General features: G+C 40.6%; 1 protein-coding gene across 4 annotated transcripts in view; it reads right to left on the reverse strand.

The window, feature by feature from the left end:
- ADAMTS18 (ADAM metallopeptidase with thrombospondin type 1 motif 18) overlaps positions 13,452-19,560 on the reverse strand; it is a 152,907-nt gene continuing 146,798 nt past the window's right edge. For all 4 annotated transcript variants that reach the window (NM_199355.4, NM_001326358.2, XM_047433672.1 and 1 more), the window contains one exon: positions 13,452-15,395. In NM_199355.4, the coding sequence (NP_955387.1) occupies positions 15,280-15,395 (116 nt within the window). In that variant the 3' untranslated portion in view covers positions 13,452-15,279. The remainder of the gene's footprint in view (positions 15,396-19,560) is intronic.

The following is a 19,560-nucleotide window of genomic DNA, read 5'->3' on the forward strand; positions in this document are numbered from 1 at the left end:
TTAGCTTAGTGAAGTTCACTATTACCCACCTTCTGAAGCCTGCTTCTGTCAATTAATCCACCCCAGTCTCAGCCCAGTTCTGTGTCCTTGCTGGAGAGGTGTTGCGATCATTTGGAGGAGAAGAGGCACTCTGGCTTTTTGAGTTTTCAGCATTTTTGTGTTGATTTTTTTCCTCATCTTTGTGGGCTTATCTACCTTCAATCTGTGAGGCCTGCTGGCCTTTGGATGGGTTTTTTTGTGAGGTCTTTTTTTGTTGATGTTTTGTTTTGTTGCTTTGTTTTTTCTTCTAACATTCAGGCTCCTCTTGTGTAGAGCTCCTGCAGTTTGCTGGGGGTTCACTCCAGACCCTATTCACCTGGGGCCCTCCCACACCTGGAGGTATCACCAGTGGAGGCTACAAAACAGCAAAGATGGCCACCTGCTCCTTCCTCTGGGAGCTCTGTCCCATATGCGCACCTACCTGATGCTGGCTGGAACGTTCCTGTATGAGGTATCTGGAGACCCCTGTTGGGAGGTCTCACCCAGACAGGAGAAATGAGATCAGGGACCCACTTAAAGAAGCAGTCTTGCTGCCCCTTGGCAGAGTGGGTGCTCTGTGCTGTCCAGACTCTCCAGAGCCAGCTGGCAGGAAAGATTAAATAGGCTGAACCACGAAGATTGCAGCCATTCCTCTGAATAGGGGCTCTGTCCCAGGGAGATCAAAGATCTGTCCATGAATCCCTGGCTGGAGTTGCTGAAATTCTGGTGGGGAAGCCCCTCCTGATGATGAGGGATGGATCAGGGTCCCACTTAAAGTAGCAGTCTGGCCAAATCTGGCACAGCCACTGTGCTGCACTGTGGGGAATTCCTCTCCATCCAAACCACCCAGTTTCCTTGGCACCGGTGGGGGAAAACAGTTGACTGGAGCTGCAGAGATGGCAGCCACCCCTCCCCCTGGAAATTGGTTATCTTAGGCAGTCTCCAGCCTGCTGCTACTGGCCAGCCAGGGATTCCAAGCCAGTGGATCTTAGCTGGTAAGGTTCTGTGGGAGCAGGGCCTGTTGAATGATGCCACTTGGCTCCCTGGCTTCAGCTGCCTTCTTGCCTCACCAGAAGTCCCAGGGCTGGAGTATCCAAAACAACTCCCCTGTCTCATTGGCTGCCCGAGCAGCCACTGAGAGTCTGCACAGCTCTGTGTTTGGGACCCAAGGCCCTGGTGGCATGGGCTCAGGAGGGGATCTCCTGATCAACGAGTTGCAAAGATGCATGGGAAATGTGTGCTTTCCCAGGTGGGGTAGCACACTCACTCACTGCCTCCTTTAGCTGGGGGAGGGAGATCTCCCCTTACCCTATGCCACCCCCAGGTGGGCTGTCACCCCACCTTACTTTTCCTCACTGTCTGTGGGTGGTACCAACTGCCTATTCAGTCCCAATGCCAGAACCTGGATACCTCAGGTGAAGGTGGAGAATTTATTTGACATTTTCCTTCCTCTCAGGGAGAGCCACAGCCCGCAGCTGCTTCTACTCGTCCATCTTGGCCCCTCCCCACTCATTGCTTTTATGGAGGGAGTGATTTTTGGAGGTCCTTACCCCACCATTATCCCAGCTCCTTGTTTTTTTAAATCATTTATCTTTCTGTCTACAGATTGGATATGTTCTATTAATCTATCTTCAAGTTCACTGTTTCTTTCGTTTGTCATATCTATTATTTCATTAAACTCAGGCAGTAAATTTTTATTGTTAATATTTTTCAATTCTAAAATATTCATTTGGTTCTTTATATTTTATATTTCCCTGATAATATTTCTATCCTTTTTTCATTTTGAACGCATTCTTGTTATTATCAAGGATGGTTCTATGATCTGCTCTAAAGTTCTTATGTAACTTTAAACACATGGATTCTCCTACCATCTGGGTCATTTTGGGGTTGGCATATGTTGATCATCTTTTCCTATAGAAATGATTCATATTAGTCAGTTCTTTGTTGAGTAATTTTGGATTGGATCCTGGGCATACTGTTATAATGTGAAGGCCTCTGGGTTCTGTTACATTCCTCTGAGGAACAATGATTTTATTTTAGCAGATAATTCATTAGATCAGACCCAAAGTATAAGCTCTGTTTCATTTACTGTGGTTATTAGTTCAAATTTCAATTTAATTCTTTAAGGCTTTGCTGTGATGCTTTGAGTTTTCCCACACATGCATGGTGTTCTCCAGGTCAGAGATTTATACGAAATTCATATTCAGGATTAGGAAATGCCCTTTTTTTACATCGCCCATTTAGGTGGGATTCCTCCCTTTTTATCTGGGAGCCTGACCTGATATTTGGGGTTCCTTTCCTTAGTTCTTTCATCCAGAAATTCTATGGGGATTCTAGCCCCTCTCATCCAGATGCTGTGCTGTGTGTATAAACTGCCCTCAAGATAAAGCCATAAATAAGAAAAAAGAAAAGAGAGAAGAAAGAAAACTTTTTGCACTTTACTTCTCCACACTTGACTTTTCTCAACATTTCTGCTTATATTTACTTTCTAGAATTTTTAGGTAGGTTTCTTCCCCCCCCCCATGTTTTAGCTAAACTTTATCTGTTTAGGAGTAGGTTTGCAGGAAGCTTCTACCATCAAATAGTAAGTAGCAGCCACAGACAATATCTAAATAGATCATATTATTGACTTGTTATTTTAAAAGTTGGCTTCTTCTACTTCCTTTCTAAGTAGAAAGACCTTTACTTTAGCCTGAAAAACTAAATTCTAAACCTAGTTACATCATTTATTTTCTGTGTGATTTTAAGTGAATTATTTAACTTTACTGAACTTCATTTTCCTCCTACTTAAAAGGGAGGAAATTATAATAAGGGATTTGATATGAGAATTAAAGGAAAGAGTACAGATAAAGTGCCTAGGAGAGTATCTGGGCCCATAATTGGGGCTTAGTAAGTGTCAGCCCTCTTTTTTTGTGTGGAAAGGAATTAAGCTAGCTGGTGATTATTTGGCTACTGCATTTGAAGGCAGTAAAACCAAAGTCTGAATTATCTGGGTTGATAAGATTATCTAGATCACTGCTAAATCTCCCTGCCACTTTATCCTGTTGATACTGAGACACCTAACTCTCAAATATAATCTTCCAAAAAGCAATCCTTTACAAGGCGACTCTGAAAGACTCTTTGTGCTAGCAAACAATACCCAAAGTGTGCCTTCCAGAGAGACAATATAGTAAAGCAGCATATTAATCTTGCCCCAAATCCTATTTCATGTCTTCCGGACATTGCAGAGGGGAGATGGGTGGAAACAATGGATCCATTGAGAATTACAGGCTGACCTCCAACTGAGACCTCTACCTGGGTGACTACATTTGGATGGAGAACAAGTACTTTGGCCCTAGCCACATTTTGTTTCCTGTTCCCTGACTGAGGTTGGCTGCAGTTCAGTTATGAACTCTGCTAGCAAGACCGTGACACTGGAAAAGACGTTAAAAGTGCCCACCCATTCAGGATTTAATTAATGGTTGCACAGGAACCAACTTCTTCCCACTCGGCAGAGAGGAAAGGGTTGGCAGCTGACCACTCCTCAGGCTGCCAGCTCTCAGTCCTTTGAGGACCTCAGCCATGCACCTGTGCCAAGAGGTTGGCAGCTGAGGTTCGATGATCCAAGGCCTCACAAAATCTCATCCACGAATCAACCTGCTTATCGTTATTTCCTGCAAAACTTCAAAACCATAAAATTCTTTCTTTCTCAGCTTTATTGAGGTATCATTGACAAATAGGAATTGTATATATTTAACATGTATGACTTGACTTCTTGATGTATGTATACACTGTGAAATGATCAGCACAATTAAGCTAATAACATATCCATCACCCATCTAGTTACCTCTCTCTTCCCTTTTTCTTTTCTTCTTTCCTACCTTTTTCCCTCCCTCCTTCCCTTTCTTTTTTTCCTTTTCTTCTTTTATGTGGTGAAAATATTTAAGATCTGCCCTCTTAGCAAATTTCAAGTCTATAACATAAACTGTAGACTTGATCACCATGTTGTATGCTAGATCTCCGGAACTTATAACTTCATCTTATAACTGAAACTTTGGATACTTCGACTAACATCTCCCAATTTCCCCTTGTCCCTCACCCCAACCATTTTACTCTTTGCTTCTATGTATCCGAGTACTTTAGATTTTATACATAAGTGAGAGCATGCAGTATTTGCCTTTCTCTATCTGGCTTATTTTACTTAGCACAATGTCTTCTAGGTTCATCCATGCTGTCACAAATAGCACGATTTCTTTAGGAGTAAAGAATATTCCATGGTATATATAAACACATTTTCTTTATCCATGCATCCATCAATGGCCACTTAGTTTGCTTCTATAACTTTGCTTTGTGAATAATGCTGCAATGAATACTGGAATGCAGATATCTCTTCAACATACTGATTCCATTTCCTTTGGATATATGCACAGAAGTGGGATTGCTGGATCAAATATTTAATTCTATTTTTAGTTTTTTGAAGAACCTGTATATCGTTTTCTATGATGGTTGTATTACTTTACCTTTTAATCAATAGTGTACAAGGATTCCTTTTCTCCATATCCTAACACTTACTGTTTTGTCTTTTTCACAGCCATTCTAATAGGTATGAGGTATCAAACCCTCATTGTGGGTTTGTGTTTCCCTGATAATTGGTGATGTTGATCACATTTTTACATACCTGTTAGCCATTTGTATATCTTCTTTTGAGAAATGTCTATTCAGGTCCTGTGCACATTTTAAAATTAAATTATAAGTGTTGATTTCTTTTTTTTCTATTGAGTTATATGAGTTCCTTATATATTTTGGATATTAACCCCTTAGCAGATAGATGATTCACAGATATTTTCTGTCATTCTTTAGGTTGACTTTTTTATTCTATTGACTATTTCATTTGTGAAGAAGCTCTTAAGTTGGATACAACCCCCCATGTCTATTTTTGCTTTTGTTGCCTGTGCTTTGGGGGTCATATCAAAAATACTATTCTTACCAATGTTAAGAAGTCTTCTCTACCCCTGTGCATAAACCCTTCTTTTACCCTCAAAATATCCTTTGTTGTTGCTAGAGCATCTGTTGCCTTCTTCAGTAACTGTCTTCCTTTCTCTTGTCATTTTATAGTTACCATTTGTTGAGTATTACTAGGTACCAGCTACATCCCTTTAGAAAACAAAACCTTATAAAAAATTCAAAACAATTCTGGTTACTAAAGTTACTCCTGACTAGGTCAATTGCCAACGAATGAATGACACATTGGTTGCAAGCCTGCACCCAGCTGGATGGGAGAGTAAATTTCCACGCACTTGTGGTTTTCTGTGCTTGCAGCCAAAGTGAGTGCTGGCAGTGTGAGCCTGCCCATGGAAGAAGAAATGCAGGTGCTAGCTTTGGGAGTAGAATTACACCACAGGCTGATGCAAGAAAATGGCTAAGTGAACCAAGCAGATACGTTGAGAGCACCATGTAGCTTCTGCTGCAATCATACATCTTTTCTGCTTAGGCTTCTCTTGGTTGTAATTTTGTAGGATTCCTTGGTTAGTGATGGTCCACATCTGTGAGTCATGAGCCCAGTGAGGGCAGAAAACTTGTGTATATCTATTAAACTTTGTAGAATCCAGTATAAATGGCGCTAACTTTCATTGAATAAATGATTAAATGCCTATTCCTAAATGAAGAAATTAAGGCTCAAATAAATGAAATGGCATTGCTGTTGACCAGATGGATTCTTTGGGGGAACTCAGGATATGAACTTGAGGTTCGTAGGGATGCAAATGCCTTGCTCTTAGTCAACATAATAGGCTCTTTACGAATCCCGTGCCATTGTATGAAATGTCTGTGAGTCTTGGTTCACGTGCATAATTAGGAGAGTCAGTAATTATTTCATGTCTTAAGATGCAGATAATTACAAAAATTCAGATTAATATGTGGAAAATACAAAGTATATCCCTTGCTCATAGCAGATGAGCATTGATGTCAGTTGTTATCATTATATCATCATTGCTTCTTTCTGTTCTGCCTACTTCTGTTGCTAGTCTTTGGGAACTCTAACATCTTAATACATTGTTATTCTTGGTTTAACAGACAAGTCCTAGGAAAATTTTCTGAAAATAAGCAAAACATTAAAACTTCATCAGATGATTCTTAAAGCAGATTTTAAAAAATATTTCATAAAATCCACAAGACATGAAAGAACAGTGTGTCCACAATTCTTTCCTCTAAGTATTTTTTCCTATTAACCAGTAGGATAGAAAGAAGGGGATAATACCAAATTAGTTTTTCCTACCTTCTGCCCTCTCCAACCCTAGCCTTATCATGGATATTTTTCCCTCTTGGGATAGAGATGACTGCAAAAACAGATGTTGCTGCTCCTGCCAAACTCTTAAAAGTAGGTTGAACAAGTCACGTGTAATGCCAATGGCAGAGCCCCATCACTGCGACTGTTTTATGTAACCTGAGTTCAGAATCTTGAACTCTTGTCCACAGAAACAGGCTTGCTCCTTTGAGGACCCTGTCATTGACATCACAACAACAATAGGTGTGAGAATAGATAGTCCTCATTGCAAGCATATTCTTTTTATTTAAACAGTTTTATTGAGATATAACTTACATACCATAAAATTCACCCATTGAGTGTCTAGTGGTTTTAGTATAAAGTTCGCAGCATTCAACGTTATTCTTAATTCATGGTTCAAAGCAGAGTAAGCAATAGTTCAGTTCCCTGAAGATATTTGACTTTTGGAAAGGGAATGGGTCAGATAGTTTTAAAAATGGATAATTTCATAATGTCACCTTTTCCCTACACAGAGGGAGGATGATAGATTTCATAATGTCACCTTTTCCCTACACAGAGGGAGGATGATAGATTTCATAATGTCACCTTTTCCCTACACAGAGGGAGGATGACAATATTCTTGTGTTTTTTATGGTAGCAGAGCATTTTTTTGGGGGGAAAGGGAACTTCAGATAATATCACATATATGAATTAAGAAATGTTTCTTACTAGGCTTTTATTTTAAACTCACTACTCATCAAACTTGTCCTTAAGCTCAACAAAAATATCTACCTGTCAGGCAAAAATCAATATTTTTATAATACAGCAAAAAGTATGCTTACCTAAAAATTGTCCCTTAATTGACCTAACTTTTAAATCACTGAGTAATCTTAGGAAAGGCTGTAAGATATTTGGGTGTCAGTTTCTATACCTGTGAAATGGGGGAGATAAATGAGCTCTAAATTCTCTTCCAGTTCTTCATTTCTATCAGTTTTCAAGTGGACTCCTTTCTGCTTAATGCCATAATTTTGTGATACTATTATTGTGGAGGAGGTTAAAAACACTTTTGCATGATCCTGCTGTGCATATATGATATTCACAATTACAGACTGAAACAAGCATTTTCAAATGCTAACCGGATCAATGTAAAAGTGAGGTTCTTTTTGTTTTTGTTTTTGTTTTTAATATTAGGACTATATGACCTTGTAACATTGCCTTCTGTATTTTTAAGTAAAGTCCATTTGGGTCAGGAACAAGATATTTTTCTGTGCTTGGAGCTCACATTGCAGTTGACACTCAATACATACTCGTCAAAAGAATAAATGCATTTTAGTTAGCAAAAATGCAAGAAAAACATTAGTTAAGGCAGACCAAACTATGAAAGGGTGACTCTGCATGTCAGAGGGACTTATAGCACTAAAACAAATATAACGTCTAAGAAAATGTGAAATGTCTATCTTCTCAGCAGGCCTAGCTGTGAGTAATAAAAGCCCTCACAATATGGGCATCATAACAAAGAAAGAAATTTGCTGAAAACAATAACAGTTATTTCTTTATTGGTTTCAGACTATGTGGATATATACATAAACAACACGTTAATATTTAAATATCTGGAATCAATCTTAAAAAATACAAAGACTGTGAATTAATAAAATTAGCCATTAAACAGAAATCAGAGGCCAAGTAAAGCACAAACAATGAACCTAACTTCTTGAGCTGGGCCAAAAACATCATTCTAGTGGCTTTTCCCTATATAACTTTTTTTTTGTTTTTTTGTTTTTTTTTGTTTTTTTGGTTTTCTGTTGTACAAAACCTGAAGTTACCATTTCATTTAGTCAAGGCAACCAATGCATTTCTCGCAATTTATAAGGATGTTGACAGTTGGCACCATCCATTAAAAAATGATTAATTCACCTCTTGGCACCTAATGACCAAGCAGGAAATAGGATAGCAGCTGTCATTCTGTCTTGACTGCACATTTCTCTGTAAACACTCACACATGAAGCCTTGGGAGTAGCTTGCGAAAGGCATATTCCAATGGGTATTTCTTCAGCTTTTCTATTATACACTCTTTTTTTAAAAAAAGTATTTTTTTAAAGCACAGTAATCTAGCTCTTGCATGTGGGTGCTTTACTGAGAAAAATGGTCAATTGTTTTCAATGTTTCTGCTCCCCACCCTCCAAACCTGAGTGAGTGCAGGTGCTCCTGGCTTGCCTGAGAATGAGAATAAACTAAGATCACCAGCACGTGGGGTCTCTGCCTGTGAATTCTTATCTTGACCAACTAATACTTTACTGGTGAAATGTACATGCAGGTAAAATGTACATGCAGAAGATGAGAGAGGCAAAGGGTCACTTGATTATTAGCTAAATTTGGCCCAACCACTGCACAGCTGCATGGGATGGCATGCAACCACAGGCACTCCTTTGTCTAAGAAAACACATCCAAGCACTTCCTATTTTATTTTTTGGCCTCAGACCGGTGGTTCCAAACCTAGCTATTCTTGAGAAAAACTTGAGTGCCTTTTAAAATATAAATTCCCAGGCCCCACCCTCAGGCTTAATGAATTCTGTTTCTTGAAAGGGACCTGGAAAGTTTTTGTATAAAATAACTTTAGGTGATAGTGATGCAGCTAGTTACTTAGAAACCATTGTCCTGCATCTTACTCTGCAGCCAGCTTGGCTTTCAAAAGGCATGGGGACAGGGGAGAGAAGACCTCCTTTCTAGGAAGAGGAGACTCTCAGCTGCTAGGATATGGAGAGTCTGCAGGAACTGAGGGACACACTGAAGAACAGTAGAGCTAGGCCTTCTGCCAAGTGGGCGCTGCCCGCTCCTTCCTGTAGTCCAGCCACATGAAAGAAGGGATAGGAAGAGACAAAGGGGGAACTGGGCCTGGGCCTTGTCTCCATGAGGAACAGCCCATGTCTCTGGTTCATCTTCAGAGATCATCTCCCCAAGTGCTGTGACTGTTAATGGACCACTCCTTGTACTGCACACCAGTTTTAAAAAGTCTATTTGCCATCAGAATGGAGGGTTGAGGAAGACCACGTGGTTTGATCTAGAATAGCATTTTCCATTGTGTGGCATGGGCATTGCAGTGCAACATGAGACAATGTCAAGCGATCTCCTAACCTGTATGGGGCAGAGATGGCCTTAATGGGTAGGCCAAGGCTGTGTGAAGAAGAGAAGAACAGGGGTTGAATGAAACAGGGGTGGGAAGAAGAGACATGCAGGATCTCCTTTTCCTAGATATTGGTGTCTCATTTTAATCCCAATTATAATGTTGGGAACAATTTTTAAACCTAATTTGTTCATAAAACCAACCAACAATTACAAAAATGACTTTTTGTTATTGAATGAACTGATTACACACTTGACTGTGTCCCTCATTAAACAAAGTTTAAGAGCGCCGAGCACAGTGGTTCATACCTGTAATACCAGCACTTTGAGAGACCAAGGCAGGCAGATAGCTTGAGGCCAGGAGTTCGAGACTAGCCTGGCCAACATGGCGAAACCCTGTCTCTACTAAAAATAGAAAATTAGCTGGGCATGGTGGTATACGCCTGTTGTCCCAGCTACTTGGGAGGCTGAGGCAGGAGAATCTCTTGAGCCTGGGAGGCAGAGGTTGCAGTGAACCGAGATTGTGCCACTGCACCCCAGCCTGAATGACAGAGCAAGATTCTGACTCAAGAAAAAAATAATAGTATAAGGAAACACTTAGGACACTCTGCAAGTATCTCTTCATGACGTTCAAACAATATGGTGGTTGTAGATGAGTAAGGCACTATGCCACTGTGGAAACTAACAAATAGCTGGGCAGATTCAGAGAAACACACTGTAGATATTGCTTTTGAAGCCTTTTCTACAAAAATTGGTTGAGCAAATGTCACTTACATCATGATCCTCAATGTCGAGCTCTATCAGCAAAGGCACAATTAAGTGGACATAATTTGCTTTTTCTCTGTGCAATTGTGAATTGGGATTCAAGATAATCTTACATAACATCCCATCTTTATTCTAAACTTAGTGATATTAAGCTGACTATTCTTGAGAAACTATGAACAGGTCACTTAGTGTCATTGAGGAATTCTTTTATTTTCAGATGAGTTTTGTAAACCATTTGTAGTGACTGTATTTTATTTTGTAATTAAAATTAACAAATGTAAATATTTGGCTTTTGCGGCTACCCTTTATGCCATGTTCTATCGATTCTATGTTTAAAGGAGTTATAAAACAGTTGATTTTAAAATAATTTCTTTTTTTAGAGAAAATAATTTCTTTTACTTTTTTTTTTTAAATTATACTTTAAGCTCTCGGGTACACGTGCAAATCATGCAGTTTTGTTACATACACATGCCATGGTTGTTTGCTGCACCCACCTACCCATCACCTACATTAGGTATTTCTGCTAATGTTATCCCTCCCCTAGCCACCCCCCGCCCCCTGACAGGCCCTGGTGTGTGATGCTCCCCTCCCTGTGTCCATGTGTTCTCATTGTGCAACTCCCACTTATGAGTGAGAACATGCAGTGTTTGGTTTTCTGTTCTTGTGTTAGTTTGCTGAGAACGATGGTTTCCAGATGGAGTCTCACTCTATCCCCCGCGGTTGGAGTGCAATGATGCGATCTCAGCTCACTGCAGCCTCTGCCTCCTGGGTTCAAGTGATTCTCCTGCCTCAACATCCCGAGTATCTGGGACTACAGGTGCCACCACCAAGCCCGGCTGATTTTTGTATTTTTAGTAGAGACAGGGTTTCACCACGTTGGCCAGGGTGGTCTTGAATTCCTGACCTCAGGTGATCGGCCTGCCTCAGCCTCCCAAAGTGCTGGGATTATAGGCATGAGCCGCCGTGCCTGGCTGAAATATTTTTTACAGCAAATCATATTTTTACTTAAATAGATTTAAAAGTTGGTAGAGGTGATACGTGCTTATGGGGAAAACTCATGATGATAGCAATTGAGTGACAACAGTTTGAGAATCACCTCTCAGGAGTCTGTGGTCCTCTCAGGAGGAAGAAGGTGTCAGTCACCCAGATCCAGGGGTGACTGACGAAAACCGTCTTAGGTGTTGACCCTCAGCACCAGTGGAGACCATAGAGGTATTCAAGGAATTAAGATCTTAGGGGAAAGATAAGGTAAAACAGACAAAGCATGGAATCCTTATGCATATTTTTACATTTTCAAAGATAAAACCATATAGCACATAATTAGATGACCTTTTCCACATCACACTTAGCAATAATGGGTTCTGTGTTATAAATTTTCATAAACCATGTCTTACATAATACATGCTGGTGTATTGTGAGGTATTGTGGTGTATTGGGCTATTGTGAGGATTAAATGAGATAACATATATAAATAGTTTATTACAATATCTGATTCCCATTAAACACTAATATGTGGTTGCTTATTACCAAAAGCTATAAAGAAAGACAACTTTTTTTTTTTCCTGGTGTGGTATCGTCTTTCTACCGTTAGCATATAGAACCCATGCCAAGAGAATTCTCGCTCATGCTTTCCCTCCATCTTAATGGACTTGGAGTTGCAGGCTCCAGATACTCTGGTGTGATTGCCCAGGAAATACTATCATCCCAGAGCAAAGCAATTATTACAGATAAAGACTTAGATATGCAACAAGTCTTTAAGTATACTTTGTTGAAAAGACTAGGTAAGGATTTATTATTTCTCAACCCCAGTTCCCCATATGAAATTCCCAGCTCTGCCCGTAATTTATCATTGTTAAATCACTTATTGTCAAACTCCATTCACATGCATCTCAGGGGGCAAAAAGTAGAGTTCTAAGGCCTGCATGCCCTTCTTTTTCTTTCTCTATCCCAGGGTAACGCAACACAGTCACGAGAACCCCAATGGATTTGGGTTTGAGTCCTGACCCCATCACTCAGTGACTGTGTACTAGGGCTAAATACGTAATGTCTCTGAATCCGAGTTGTCACCTGCCAACAAAGAACAATAGTATCTTCCTAAGTGGGCTATTGTTAGGATTAAATGAGATAACATATATAAATAGTTCAGTACAATACCTGATTCCCATTAAACACTAATATGTGGTTGCTTATTACCAAAAGGTATAAAGACAATTTTTTTTTCTGGGCGTGGTGGTGGGCACCTGTAATCCCAGCTACTTGGGAGGCTGAGGCAGGAAAATCGCTTGAACCTGGGAGGCGGAGGTTGCAGGGTGTTGAGATCCTATCATTGCACTCCAGCCTGGGCAACAAGAGTGAAACTCTGTCTCAAAAAAAGAACAAAATATCTTTTTTTCTGTCACGTATTTTATCTGCATCTATTCCATTTTCCATTCTTAATCATAATTTTTTGTTTGCTAAATAGCAATAAATTATATAAAAATTCTCTTAACTATAAAGATACGCATATGAACTTATGTAGACACACATGTAATCACAGATGCAGGGAAAAATACAGTATTTTCAGATCAATTGGACATAACTTTGCCCAGTTCTTATTCTCCACTGGTTTAATGATTCAAAATTTCAAAAAGCCAAGAACAATTACTTTTTATTTTTTTCATGTTTTCCTGCCCATCCTTCCCTTCCCCCTCTTTATTTTTACAAAAATATTTTACTAGAATGACTTTTAAATGTAAAAATACATTTATGGTAGTTTTATCTTAGATGATTTCCACAAATGTTCTCATGACAATTACAGGGGAACAAAATAGTGTGTCCTCAAGAGGGTAAATGTGTCATCTGTTTCATCCTAGCATTTCATACTTTGATTTCTTCAAAGGCAAACAAGAAAAATCACTAGTTGTTGAATAGCTTATCTATCTTTCCTCTTCTCAATGAAGTTACTCTGTAGATTTGTTGTTGTTGAGACAGAGTCTCTGTCTGTCACCCAGCGGGGAGTGGTGTGGCCCAATCTCCTCTCACTGCAGCCTCAGCCTCCCAAGTAGCTAGGACTACAGCTGTGTGCCACCACAGCTGGCTACTTTTTTTGTATTTTCAATAGAGACAGGGTTTTGCCATGTTGGCCAGGCTGGTTTCGAACTCCTGGACTCAGGTGATCCGTCTGCCTTGGCCTCCCGAAGTGCTGGGATTACCGAGGTGAACCGCTGCACCCAACCATTCTCTAAGAGTCCTGAGTGACATTTATACAGTTAAATTACCTTTGAAATTATGGACTTTTCACTAACTTATTCAAGAACTTAACAAGCTGTCAAAGATAAAGAAATGGAATACTTTATTATAAAACTTATAAAATAATTAAATATTACACATATATTTTGACTTTTCTCTATAATCCATGGTTTTATTCAACATTTTATCTCAAAATATTACTTAGAGAAGCAAGTGAGAACACATAATAGGCTATTAATTAATAAATTAATTTTCCATAAAATAATAAAATGATAATTATATAAAGAAATAACTTGCTGTTTTTCAGAAGGCAACGGGGTTGTAGTAGAGAAAATTTTTTTTTTTCCTGTTGATAAAATGGCCACTTCTCTAGGCCAAGCCAAGCAGATTGAGAGAAGTTCCTAAGCATTATTTCTCTGGGATTCAAGAACTCATGACTTTAATTAGAATGGGAACGAAGTATGCTGCTAAATTTAACAAACCACTGTCTAGTTGATTATGCTGAGCTGGCTAATCCAGCTTGAATTGAGACTTTTTAAAGAAGTAAAATTGGGTTACATTCATCAAAGAAGTTGAGGAATAAAGTAGAATTTATGTAAATATGCCCTTTATAACCACTTCTCAAAAAATTACAGGAGGACACAGTATTATAATTACTTTGGTTTTGGCAAAATAGTGTGATGTTTTTTCAATTGAGAACAATTTTAAACTCATTAATGCCTACCAACAGCTGGCTTCTGATGACTGAAAATACTCTTATTCAGTGAGGGTCTTGTCATATTATGATTTATTAATATTAACATAGCAAGAAGACAGATGGATTTTTTTATTACCACTGTTTACTCCTTTCTTTCTCTCTTTTTTTTTTTTTTTTTTTTGCTGTTAGCTCAATCCTAGGGCAAATTTAAACGTATCAGTTGGTAGGAAAAAGCCACAAGTGGCCTTTAATTTTCCAAGCAGCTCTGGTAGTATGTACAGAGCATTATAAATGATGGTCCTTTCTCCCTCAAAACACTGCTGTGTTTTGTCATTTAGCTCCTCCTAGATATTTTTTAAATACCAGAAATGGGTATGTAGCATTCCCAAAGAGCGGGCTGTAGCTTTTCATGGACTGATTCAGCAAGCACCAAAAGTTACGAGGTTGATAACATGTGAAGGGCATCCATATTTATCTTTTCTATGAGTTGTTTCCTTGCATGAATTTCAATTACATGGAGATCTTAAACAGTCCATGTTGCCCTATTTTCATAATATTCCTTGGAATACTTTTCAAGTTGTCAATTTTAGTCTCAGAGACTCTCTATAAGCAGAATATAGTTTACACAAAATAATAAAGACACACGCACACCAAATAAACATAACATGAAGCTTGCCAGTCCAGCAGCAAGCACAATTGCGAGCACCATTTGGCTTCTCATAGAACTCCTGGCTTGGGTGTTCACAGGGTTAGTCGAACTGTGAACTCCACGCAACAGTTAGGCAAGGTATTCCATCCAGATTTGAAAGTTCTGAGTCTCAGTCTTTGACCTGAAGTCATAAAGGACCTTTTTAAAACAGATGTCTTTGCCCTTGAACCCTTTGAAGTTCAAAAGGGGGTCTCTCCCCAAATCGACGTATCTCAGTGTGATTCACCACTTCTTGCATATAACAGTGCAAATCAAAGATTTTTTTTAAAGTCAGATTTGTCATCGCTTCCCATTTTCAAGTGCTTCAGAGTACCACGTGCTTCAGGGAATTGAGCTAGAAGCCTACTGGCAACCTGTCTGTTCCTCAGAGCAGGCTCCTTCATCACAGCGGCAGCTCACAGATGGTTCTCGGTGCTCAGCTCCTGGTCTCAAAGGCAGCTGGTCTCTCTAGAGGTTGAAAGGTAAGCCCCTGGCCCTAAGGTGCTGGGGAGGACACCAAGATCAGATCTTCCTTGTGCATGACTTGCAGCATTGTTTTCCGTAAAACTTGTGGTTGCAGACACCATGCTGAGGAACTAGGTGACACCAGTTGAAGAAATCTACGCAGGATGGATCCTCTAAAATAAGAAAATATATTTAGCATGTTGGCTAGGGTGTCTATCCTTTTTCTTTTTTTTTTTTTTTGAGATGGAGTCTCACTCTGTTACCTAGGCTGGAGTGCAGTGGTGTGGTGTGATCTCCGCTCACTGCAATCTCTGCTGCCCAGGTTCAAACGATTCTCCTGCCTAAGCTTCCCAAGTAGCAGGGACTATAGGCAAGTGCCACCAAGCCCAGCTAATTTTTGTATTTTTAGTAGAGACGGGGTTTTCCACCATGCTGGCCAGGCTGGTCTCAAATTCCTGAGCTCAAGTGATCTGCCTGCTTCGGCCTCCCAAAGTACTGGGATTACAGGTGTGATCCACCGGGCCCAGCCTTTGGTGATTTGCATATTATGATTTATTAATATTAACATAGCACCTTTTTCTTAAGGTGAGGGCCTACAGAACAAAGGTCTTGGGCCCACCTCCCTTGTGCCTCTATGTGGTTTTTCCCATTAAACATTGGGACTTTGGTAGGGGGGTGAGGTAGGGGCAGGATTTAGATGCCAAGAAAAGACTCTGACCATTAGCAAAATTAAATGATTTGTTTTTAAAAAATGTCACATCTAATCCAAGATCAATGTCTGATCCTCCCTATGTAGCCTGGGAGCTACCATGGAATTCAGTGTCCAGGGAAATACCCTAAAATGGTGCTTTAGGGATCCCCTAAGGATATTGTTGTACCACTAGTACCGCTGGTTCTGATTGAGAAGGGCTGTCAGAGGGGAGCATTAAGGGAGGGTGTGCTGCTGGTCCACGAACTATAATTTCAGGAGCAAGAAGCCTGATGTATTGGGAGTCAAGCCACCTTATTTGCCTGCAAATGGGTTGAGATTAACTGAAAAAGCCGGGTCTCCAACAGTCTGTGTAGGTTTAAGTCAATCTCAACCAGTTTGCAAGTAAATAAATTTAAGTCAACACCAGTCCTTTCTAATTTCTTTAGTTGTTCAATGAGCAGGACAGATGTGATTATTTCACTGTACATCAAGAATTCTTACTCAGATGGGCCTCAGGAGATAGGAAATGCAAGTGAATGGGTATGTAAACATAAGTGCATGTTGTAGGAGCAAGGGCCCAGTCATTTCACTGTTTTGTTTGAGATGGAATTTTGCTCTTGTTGCCCAGGCTGGAGTGCAATGGTATAATCTCGGCTCACTGCATCCTCCGCCTCATGTATTCAAATGGTTCTCCTGCGTAAGCCTCCTGGGTAGCTGGGATTACAGGCACCCACCACCACGCCCAGTTAATTTTTGTATTTTTAGTAGAGATGGGGTTTCACCATGTTGGTCACGCTGGTCTCGAACTCCTGACCTCGGGTGATCCGTCTGCCTCAGCCTCCCAAAGTGCTGGAATTACAGGTGTGAGGCACACCCCCGGCCATTTTACTGTATTTTTAAGGCACAGTTTTGACTTTAAAAATATTTAGAGTATACACTACACATAATTCAGAAATGCTTAGAGTTCCTTCTTCAAGCCTTGATTTTTCTGCCTAAAATTCCTTTTTATACATCCCCTTCATGTAAGTAAGTCAGGCAGGAGAAGTGAGATGTATTACTATTCTGTCAGTATAAGTGCTTTTTTTGATTATAATTACTAACAGCTGGTTGTTTGAGCTTCTACTGTGAGTCAGGTATTTCATTTACACTATTGAAGATGACCTTGGAATCATTTCTTTGCTTCACGTTCTCCATGCAATCAGCAGATACTCTTGGCTCAATCTTTAAAATGCACCCAGCATCCAACCTCTTCAGTACTGCCACTGCTCTAGTGGAACCTCCTCCAACCGCTTCCTGGCAGAGTTGACAAGTCCTTGTTCTACTCGAGACAACCTGCACTCCTTTCACCTTAACTGCCAGTAATCTTCCTAAAGCTAGATCCTATTGCTCTTCTCTTCTGCTCAAAGTTCTCCATTGGCTTCCATCGTACTCAGCGTTAAATCTGAAATCCTTACACTGACTGACAAGGCCTCCAGTCCCACTTTTCATGTATTGCTTAACCACTCTTCACCTTGTTTCTTGTACTCCAAGCATCGTGCCATTCCTCAATTAGATTAGTATATTCCTGCCTCGGGGACTTTGGGGTCTCTCTGCCAGGAACACTCTCCTAGAGCCATATGTGGTTCACCTTCCTTGAGGTCTCTGTTTAAGTGCTAAATAATCAAGTGGTCGTGCCTGATCATTATAATCTGAAGGTGTTTTCCTATTTCCTCACCCCTTCACCCCTGCTACTTTACTTTCTGACACTGTGTGCTAATTGGTTGATTTGTTGTCCGTTTCCATTTTGAAGCAAGCTTGTCAGAAGGTGGGAGCCGTGCCTGTTTATTTTGTAATCAGACCCCAGAACAGTTTCTGGTTCACAGTAAGCACTAAAGACATGTGTGAAAAATGGAATTACCTTCTTTAATACTCAAAACAGTCTTTCGAAGTAAGCATTATTTCCCAGTTTTATGAATGCTCAGAAAGTTCAAAACTTGCTCAAAGCTCCATAGCTAGCTCCATAGCTACTGAGTGTCAAGTCAGTGTGGATTCAACTCTATTTTTATGATTTTAGGGTCCTTGCTCCTTCCACTGTACAATGCTGCCTGCCCCCATCTGAAGATGTGGGATTCCATGAGGAGCAGCTTATTAGTATTGAGTGCCTGCTCATCCTTAACTTAATATGACTAGTCTGCAGCCCAGGTAGCTTCCAGACACGTAAACACCCAGTTTCAATGCAGTGTGACACAAGTCTCTGGGTGGTATGACTGCTTTAGGGCCTTCTCTCTTTTCTGAAGAGAATTTTATGTATAATATGTACAGTGCAACCATAAGGATGGCTTCCCCAAGGTGGAGATCCAACCAAGATACCCAGATAAGGCATCACACACTGATGATGATATACAATGACTGCCCCTAGACTGGCACTCAGTATGGGCAGGGATCTGGGGGACAACAAAGCTGTTTGGTGACACTGGATGACAGGAGGATGCAGCCATGGGCAGAATGGTCTTCTCTAGGGTCTAGTTTAAGTGACTACAATGGGTAGAAACTTCTACCCAAGTGGAAGCTCCATAAGGGGAGGAAACTCTCACAGTGCCTAGCAGAGTACCGTACCTGGTCCACAGTGGGGGGCTCAGAGAAGAGGCAAAGAACGGAATCTTCTTCCGTCACCATGCGCCTCCTTACTGCTCACTAATGTTTTCTGAAAACTCACAGCCAGAAAATACACTCAAACGACATTCATAGTAGTCACCCTGCCAAGCATGTAATCATCCCTATACTTGGGATGGGAATGGGAGAAAATCCTCAACTTAGTAAACTGTAGGCCACATTTTTGGGTCAGAACAAACACGTGGGCTCGTATCCTTTATTCTTCCAAAAGCCACCTGACTCAGCCATGAGGCACAGAGAGAAACTCCTCTTTTTGAGACAGGGTCTCAAAAAAAGCCCAGGCTGGAGTGCAGTGGTGCAATCTCGGGTCACTGCAACCTTCACCTCCTGGGTTCAAGAGATCCTCCCACCTCCCCAGTAGCTAGGCCTACGGGCACCTGCCACCACACCCAGCTAGTTTTTATATTCTTAGTAGAGACGGGGTTTCACCATATTAGCCAGGCTGGTCTCAAACTCCGGACCTCAGGTGATCCACCCGCCTCAGCCTCCCAAAGTGTTGGGATTACAGGTGTGAGCCACAGCACTCAGCCAAGCTCCTCTTTTAATAAGCCATTTCTCATATGCACCCTATGACTCCCCTCATTCCAGCACCACAGGTAGAACTGACCATCACTGTAACACTGTGAATATTCCACCACTTATTTGTTGTTGTAGCTTTCTTTTAAGAACAGGACCTTTTAAGAATAGGACCCAGCTGTATTCTTTCATCCCTAGAAGAGTGCTGGAGGTATATAAGGTGCTTGGTGACTTGGCTTTGAACAAGATCGAGGACCTCACAGCACTTTTCACATGATCTTTCATGTAGCCCTACACTCATGCATTTATTCATTTAAGACTTATTGAGTACCTGTTGCGTGCCCATTGTGGTATTAGGTGCTGGGTGAGCCAAAAATAACAAGACAAATGGCCTCCTTGGACCATACGTGCATGTTGACTTTCCCCATCCTTCCAGGAGATACTGTTGGGCAATTTCATAATTGGTCATTGTCGTTGGG

Source organism: Homo sapiens, chromosome 16 (assembly GCF_000001405.40).
Source record: "Homo sapiens chromosome 16, GRCh38.p14 Primary Assembly".
NCBI lineage: Eukaryota > Metazoa > Chordata > Mammalia > Primates > Hominidae > Homo > Homo sapiens.